The sequence below is a fragment of the Homo sapiens genome, chromosome 3 (assembly GCF_000001405.40).
Source record: "Homo sapiens chromosome 3, GRCh38.p14 Primary Assembly".
In the NCBI taxonomy this organism is placed as follows: domain Eukaryota; kingdom Metazoa; phylum Chordata; class Mammalia; order Primates; family Hominidae; genus Homo; species Homo sapiens.
Genome location: NC_000003.12, coordinates 108,089,008 through 108,097,023, shown reverse-complemented (window position 1 = coordinate 108,097,023; position 8,016 = coordinate 108,089,008). Strand labels below are relative to the sequence as shown.

General features: G+C 46.7%; 1 protein-coding gene across 8 annotated transcripts in view, besides 3 other annotated features; it reads left to right on the top strand.

Annotated features, from left to right (window-relative positions):
• Window positions 5,380–5,439: a silencer, noted in NCBI's record as "silent region_14593". NCBI's record gives its function as "represses an Ori minimal core promoter by ATAC-STARR-seq in GM12878 lymphoblastoid cells {active_cell/tissue: GM12878}" and the evidence as "EXISTENCE:reporter gene assay evidence [ECO:0000049][PMID:35858748]".
• Window positions 5,450–5,499: a silencer, noted in NCBI's record as "silent region_14592". NCBI's record gives its function as "represses an Ori minimal core promoter by ATAC-STARR-seq in GM12878 lymphoblastoid cells {active_cell/tissue: GM12878}" and the evidence as "EXISTENCE:reporter gene assay evidence [ECO:0000049][PMID:35858748]".
• Window positions 5,520–6,269: a silencer, noted in NCBI's record as "silent region_14591". NCBI's record gives its function as "represses an Ori minimal core promoter by ATAC-STARR-seq in GM12878 lymphoblastoid cells {active_cell/tissue: GM12878}" and the evidence as "EXISTENCE:reporter gene assay evidence [ECO:0000049][PMID:35858748]".
• Window positions 5,993–8,016, top strand: part of CD47 (CD47 molecule) — a 47,941-nt gene continuing 45,917 nt past the window's right edge. For all 8 annotated transcript variants that reach the window (XR_241522.3, XR_924218.3, XR_007095769.1 and 5 more), the window contains exon 1: window positions 5,993–6,161. Coding sequence is in view for 4 of the 8 variants with exons in the window: in XM_005247909.3 (XP_005247966.1) it covers window positions 6,116–6,161 (46 nt within the window). In the remaining 4 variants the exon portion in view is untranslated. The remainder of the gene's footprint in view (window positions 6,162–8,016) is intronic.

Here is an 8,016-nt window from a genome sequence, read left to right as displayed (position 1 = left end):
ATCGAAAGTAAATCCACTAGCACAGCGAGGGCTTGGTGTGTGGTTTATGCCCACTGCACGTATGTTACAGGCTCTCAAAGAGGAGAGGTAGGCAAGATACAAAAGGGACTTCTCAGGACTCAAAACAGTATGTGCTCTCAAAGAAATAAGCCTGCTGCAATTTTGCAATGTAATATAGAAGCTGGCTTTCTCTAGTGCTTTCAAGCTGTCATGAATATGGGTGCCCTACATGAGTGGCCTCCAGCAGCCACAGCAGAGGGAGGAGTAGAGAATGTTGTGCATCTTGTGGCGGAAGCAAATTAATCCTTGTTATTCATTTGACATGCAGAGGAAAACGCATACCAGATCACATTGTCATCTCTGTGGCAGGATATCCCTTACCTAAAACCCTCAGTCCTATTATCCTCCTACCTTGAGGCAGTTCCTGCTTCTAATATTTGCCCCTAATTGGAACACAGGCTAGCAAGAAAATGATTTCCTGCTGCTGGAGCCTTCCTTCTGTTCTCCTAAGCCAAATCCATCTCTCCAACCCCACAATCCCATACCAATATCTTCCAGCTCCCTAACCATCCAAATCTAACCCTTGACCAGACAGCACAGACCTTCGTTGCTCTACTGCTTTATCTGATGACTGGGGTTCCTATGCTTTTATAGCTGGGTCAAGTTGAAATAGCATCCCAGGAGACTGGGCTCCAAGCCAGGTATCAGAGACATGGGTCCCTCAGCATTTAATCGCCAGTGAAATGTGAAGAAGCAGCAAATTAAGGCCTGCCCACTAGGCATAGACACGCTCATCTAGCTTCAATCAAAATTGTTGACACTTCTCCAACTCAAGGTGCTCCTTCAATGCTCCTGAGCAGCAATTGGTGATTCTTTTGATAATATTTTCACTGCCCTTCTAGGAGACCAATCTCACTATATAAGATGATTATTATAATAAGGGCTAATATTTATTGTGTGCCTACTGTGCCTCAGGCACTGCTCTACATAACTGTAAAGGTGTTAACTTATTACATTCTCAAGCCATGTTCAAAAGTTAATTTATATTATTTTTAACATCTTCGCTTTACAAATGAGAAAACAAGTGCTCAGAAAGTTTAAATAATGTGTCCAAGGTTAACAGGTAGTAAGTGGCTTGACCTATAACTCAAACCTAGGCTAAAGTGACTCTGTATACTACATACCACACTGTAAGTTTTCTTGATTGATTCGACACACGTAGGTCTCCACCAGGCACTATGTTTGACTTTGGAGATTGTGATGGTTAATTTTAGGTATTAACTTGACTGGATTAAGAGATGGGTGCTAAATCATTATTTCTGAGTGTGTCTATGAGGGTATTTCCAGAGGATATTGGCATGTGAGTTCGTGGACTGAGTTGGGGAGATCCTCCTTCAATGTGGGTGGGCACCATCTAACCGGCTGGGGGTCTGGATAGAGTGAAAAGGCAGAGGAAAGGCTCTCTTGCTCTCTCTCCTGGAGCTGAGACACCCTTCTCGTCCTGTCCTTGGCCATCAGAACTCTAGGTTCTCCAGCCTTTGAACTCTGAGACTTGCACCAGTGGCCTCCTGGCTTCTTAGGTCTTCAGCCTTAGAGTGAGAGGTGCACCAAGGGCTTCCCTGGTTCTGAGGCCCTCCAGTTTGGACAACCATGCTACTGGCATCCCTGTGTCTCCAGGCTTACAGATGGTCTATCGAGGAACGTCTCAGCCTCTTTAATCACATGAGCCAATCCACCTATCTCTCTATCCTATTAGTTCTGTCTCTCTAGAGAACCCTAATACAGACATGCAAATATACTCAGGACAAATTTCATTTTCTCCAAGCTAATGTGATAGAAGAGGAAACTATTATGTAGAAACAAATATCTACTGACACATTTTGTTAGCAGTATGAACAAAGCATCATGGGAGAGATAACTAGACCTATGAAATGATGGAGAATCATGGCAAAGAGGAAAAGTAGGGTTGAGAAAGGCTTCTTGGAGGAAGTGATATTTGATCTTGGCCTTGAAGAATGAGCTAGAATTCTCTGAGTTGAGGAGCAAAGAAGAAAACATGAGGGAGCATTATGAGAAGCAGAGCAAACAGCGTAATTGAAGCACAAAAGCCTGAAAGTAGCATAGTCCAGGCATGGAATAATCCAGTGTTGCTAGTGTTGCCTGACCATGCAACAGATGTTAGTTTGCATTCCATTGGCCAGAAGTATTAACAAGTGAAGAATCTTAATTACAAAAAAAAGCACATATTCAGAGACACTAAGAAGAAAGAGATAATACTCTGAAACTACAACCAGCTGATGACTGATAAGTCAAAATTAGGAATTTAATGATGCTAAGAACCTCTAATATGTCAGGTCAGCTCCAAGGTTAGTTCAATAGTTTCATTCACATATGTTGGCCAGGCACGGTGGCTCACGCCTGTAATCCCAGCACTTTGGGAGGCCAAGGCGGGTGGATCATGAGGTCAGGAGATCGAGACCATCCTGGCTAACACGGTGAAACCCCATCTCTACTAAAAATACAAAAAATTAGCCGTGCGTAGTGGCGGGCACCTGTAGTCCCAGCTACTCGGGAGGCTGAGGCAGGAGAATGGCGTGAACCTGGGAGGCGGAGCTTGCAGTGAGCCGAGATCATGCCACTGCACTCCAGCCTGGGCGACAGAGCGAGACTCTGCCTCAAAACAAACAAACAAACAAAAAATAAAAGATAAAACATATGTTTACACAACACCCTTTTATGCTAGGTGCTTTGTCAGACACTGATTGAAGATATGGTTCCTGACCCTGAGAGGTTTATTTACTCATTCAGTCATTCATTTATTCACTCATTCTATTTATTCTTTTAACAACGATTTGTTGAGTACATACTATGTGTCAGGCAAAGGGGCTAGCAGTAAAGAAGACTCATATGGTCCCTCCCCTCATTGAGCTTACAGTATAGGAAACAGTTATTACTGAACACGAAGACAGCTATATAAACATAATTTCAATAAAAGATGGTAACTGATATGCACCAAAGTAAGACTAAAACACAGAGAAGTGCACTTAACTTATACTGGCATTATCATGGGCCTTGATTTACTGTGGGATCCTTTGCTGTTATGTTCCCTTACGTTGAAAGATGCATCTGGCCCTACACAAAGCACAGACTATGAGTAGGTAGGCACATACAGTTCTAAGCCAACCCCTTGGGGCACCAGGAGACAGCACTGTCTCATGTCGTTGCATGACACACCACCATGGGGCAAAACATTTGCTGAATGAAGTTACAATAAGGATACAATTGTATCTACATAAACATTTAAAGATACTATCATATCAATACCTACTATGTGGCAGGATCTTGATGTTGTGTGGGGAGGAAGATAAAAGTAGATGTATCGTTGAGACAGAAATGAGGGCAAGGGAAATTTTTTATGCATTGAGAGAGGAAGTTTGTGAATTTTTTCGCTGGCCATGGAGTCAGGGAGACTTCAGTCCAACCACCGTCCCTCCCTGAGCTTGTGACCAAGCCTCACTTTCCTTATCTATAAAGGTGACAAGAGTGATTTTTTTAAGTTTATTTATCTGTAAAGGGGAAACTGTAGCAACTTTGCTATTATAGGGTAAAAAGAAAAAAGGATGAAAACCAGAACAAGGGAGAGAGACAAGAGAGAGAGCAGTGTCACTTATAACTGTGGGCAAAGTGCTCACCATTCCTCTTTCCCTTTGTTTCCTCATCTCAAAAAGGGAGATCATAACATTTATCCTTTCTGAGGTTGTTATGAAGATTAACTTAGGTGATATAGCTAATGTGTACTTCCTGTGTTCAAAACATTCTAATATGTATTATCCCCTCCCTCTCTACCCAAGAAACTCCTTACATACAGATAAGATGAGCTCAACATCCAAATTAAAATGCTTTGAAAAGTTAAAAGGCAAACCTTTAAAATGATTAAATACTGAAAAGAGCTTAAGGTTATCTCAGAGAGAGGATAATCAAACCTAGGCAGGCTGCTTTGGACTGTCTCTCCTGGGATATGCCTGCTTTTGCCCCACCACCAAAACATACCCCAGCTAGATTCCCAAGAGCAGCAGTGGTCACCCAGGTGGCCTCTCATTCCATTTTCTGCACAAAAAGACGTTAAGCATATAGCTCAGTAGCTCCCAGTGTAAAACAGAACATCACCCGATCTCCACCTCTGAAGGTTGGGGACAGTCCTTTCTAGTCACTCTTCAGCTTTAGGGGGGTTGGTTGGTATCAGGGACAGCTGACAGCCTTATTTAGCCAACCAGCTGCTCTGTGATACACAATGTCCCTAATGCTCAAAGTCTGGTGGATGATTCTTTTGTATCCACATAAGCAGCAGTTGGAGGAGAATCGATGAGTCCCTTTGGTTGCCTCGGGGTGTCAAGGCTGCCATTCAAATCATTACCACCATAATTATTAACCATTGTTTTAGTGAGATGTCTGCCAGGCAATTGTTTTTATTTTTCAATCATTAAAAAAGCAATCAAATTTCACTAGAGCAATGCCTGCCTCACGCCGCATCAACACATTTATTAAACCCCTTCTGTTTGCCGAGCTCAATGGAAAGTCTTGGAGGAGGGAATACTTAAAATGCTCTCGGATTTAAAAGAATTGATAATGCTGTGGGGAAGAGGTTCACACAAAAAAGCAATTACAGGAAGAAGCTCGATAGTATACAATACACTGGTACAGAGTGTCATAGACAGTGCCACTTTCATACGCTGGATTTTATTTCTGTGGCAATGGGATGCTTGGGAGGAGCCGCACTGTGTAGAGGATTTGGAGAAGTGGGGTATTGTGGTGGGAAATTGCTTTCTTTCCCAGGAGGTAGGAGGAAAACAATCAAGGAGGTGGACAGGATGTGCACTCCATTAGAGCAGCCACCAGAGCCTGACTTTTTGATAAGAGAGTACATCAGTTAGGATAACGGTTAAAAGTATCTTTAAAAGACTTTTGCTTCAGGATGAATGATGTGGCCTGTGTGATTCAGCGATAAATTCAAAAGCCTTGTCCCTATTGTGGCTTGCGGCCACATTTCGAACCCATTTTTCAAGCATGTTAAACCCAAGCGCAGCGCAGAGGGCTGCACATGGGGCAGTCACAAACCAAGCTCAATAACCTTGCTGGTGGGGATGTGTTGGATACGCTGCTAATGCCTGTTTGCGACAATGCTCGCTAGTCCCGGTGGTGGCGGTGTTCACAGGTAACAATGTTTACCACCGTGAATGGAACTTGTTTGATTAACCCTGATCAGAGGATGAAAACACTAAAGAACCAAGTGAGAAAGAGGGAAGAGAACCGCATAGGGAAGAGCAGAGCGAGTAGACGAGCCGAACGCAGAGCCCGCGAGGGGCGAGTGGAAGCTCCCTGCGGGCAGGTACCCGACCACCGCCCTGCCCTGGGCGTGGCGGCCTCGGGCTCAGGGACCGCTTCGGCGCTAGACGGCCGCGTCCGGAGGAAACGGGCGCTGGTGAAAGCCTAGGTGTCCTGGTCCACGCGCGCAGCCGGACGTCGGGTCCAGGGAGAGACGCGGGCTGGGGCGGGACGGGACCCGGCCCCTGAAGCGCGAGGGTGGGAGTGAAAGCAAAGAGGAGAAAAGTAGAGAGAGAGGACAGTGGGGCCCAGCGCCGCGCGAAAGGCAGGAACCGACCCGCGGACAGGAACGGGTGCAATGAGGTCCCCGGCGAGCGTGGGAACACAGGGTTCAGCCTCCTGCGGCGGGCGAGCACGCGGACCCCAGGGGCGGGCGGGTGCGACAGGACGTGACCTGGAAGCGCGGCGCGTGCCACCGCCCTGGAGCAGGCATCCGGCCTCCGTGGAGCGGGCAGGCGGGCCCCGGGTCTGGAGCCTGCGACTGGGGAGGGCGCCGCGTCAACAGCAGCGGTTGCGGGGCGGGGCCGAGTGCGCGTGCGCGGCTCTCGCGGGCGGGGAGCAGGCGGGGGAGCGGGCGGGAAGCAGTGGGAGCGCGCGTGCGCGCGGCCGTGCAGCCTGGGCAGTGGGTCCTGCCTGTGACGCGCGGCGGCGGTCGGTCCTGCCTGTAACGGCGGCGGCGGCTGCTGCTCCGGACACCTGCGGCGGCGGCGGCGACCCCGCGGCGGGCGCGGAGATGTGGCCCCTGGTAGCGGCGCTGTTGCTGGGCTCGGCGTGCTGCGGTGAGTGGCTCCTCGCTCCCAGCCCTGCGGCTGCTGTCGCTTCGCCCCCGCGGGCGTGTGGGCTGCGCCCCAGCCAGCCCGGCGGCGCCCTGAAGAGGGTGGCCGGGGCGCAGAACACTCGGGCCCTGAGCGCCCGAAGTGCAGACGTGGGAGGGCCCCACGGGGAATCGGGCGCCCCCCTTCTTCCTCCCTTCCTTTCCCTGGTCGTCTTCTTCCCCCTGGGTGAGAGCGGGGCTCATCTCCTCCACCCGGTTCTCCATCTCCAAATGCACACACACAGGAAGACTCCAAACCGCGCACCTCGCGCAAAAATTAACTAGCAAGAAAGGGCGCGATCAGAGGCAAGGGGCTGCAGCTGCTAGGGATCCCCTTCTTTCGCACCCCTCTCCCTTCTCAGTGCTTAGACGCATTTGGGGTTGAGGGAGGGAGAGTGGGAGGGCCCGGGCCTCTTGCGATGGAAGTGCGCATTTTGGCGAAGTCGGTGAGAAGGGGTTTCTGCCGTTTGCCTCCCACATGAACATAGGAGCGAAGAGGACGTAAAGGACACAATTAAGTTTCATTTTCAACTCAGCATTCAATCAGAAGAATCTTCCGGCCGTGTAATTTTTGCTGTCGTTTTTAATCCTAAAAATAAGCTTGCTGGAAACTCTTCCTTTCTCGTGACCCTCACGCCCCATCAGCCACTTGCATACATTCTAAATTGTACGTTGAAGTTTTTCCCACTTTATTTGGGGGAACCGTTTTAAAAGTAATCTGGTTTTCGCCTGAAATAGGAAGACAGTAACCTCCAGTCAAAACATGTGCAGCAGAATGGGATTTGGTGTTTTTCGACGCCAAAGAACCTCCACCCCCCCACCCCCACCCCGAGCTTTTGGAATCCATTTCGCTTTTGTAAAACGTGTGCTTCGTCTGTAAAAACTGAGCAAGGAATAGAAACATTCGTAGCTCTACAGTGAGTGCCTGTCACACTTCACATCCATAGAGCCTTTTGTGAACTTTTATAAGATTCAGAATTCAGCTTGAGCACCAGTGACAGCAATTGTTACATTTATTCTAGAATGCTAAATTAATTCGATTTTAAACTGATTATTAGCCTCGGTGTGCCGTTCCTAAAGGCTTGTGACTTTAGGTATTTCCAAGATGCCCTTAAGTCTCTGCTTACCACTTTCCTCCCTCCCCGAGCATCCTGGATGTTGGGACTGTGAATCCAGGTCTCCGTTATCTAAATGGTTGATGTTAGTGTTTCCTGTCATCACGTTTAGTATGCTTGTTGCCTTTACTATCATTATAGCTAAAATAATACTGCTTTCAGAGATGTGTTGTATAATCGCATAATAATTTCAGAACGCCTTCATATTGAACCAGATATGAAGTGATACAGTATCATTTATTCAAACTGCCTAAAAAGTAAAAAGTATAAACCATATACTATTTTTAAAACAGGTAGGTTAGATTTAAATCACGTAGTTTAGAACTGTTGGAATGGTACTTTGAGTGATAGGATTTATGTTAGGCCTTCTTTAGTAATAGTTAATATCATGTAATTAGCACTCGTTTACACACAATTTTAATGTGTTCGAATCCCTAGAGTCATCGAATTCAGAATTTATAGTATTTTATTTTACTTAGTTAATATTAACCTAAAAAAAAAGCAAAATACAGGCATTATGCAGTTGAGTTGTGTTAAGTGTGGACTGTAAAACAGGATAGTATTTGTTATAAAATATGTTTTTGTATGTGTTTAATATATAGCTTCAAAAGGACATGTATGAAGAAAGATGTCTCAGCACATAGGTAGTTATAAACCAAGGGTTTGAGAGACTGACTTTAGAATCTAGAATGAGTAAGAAAGTGA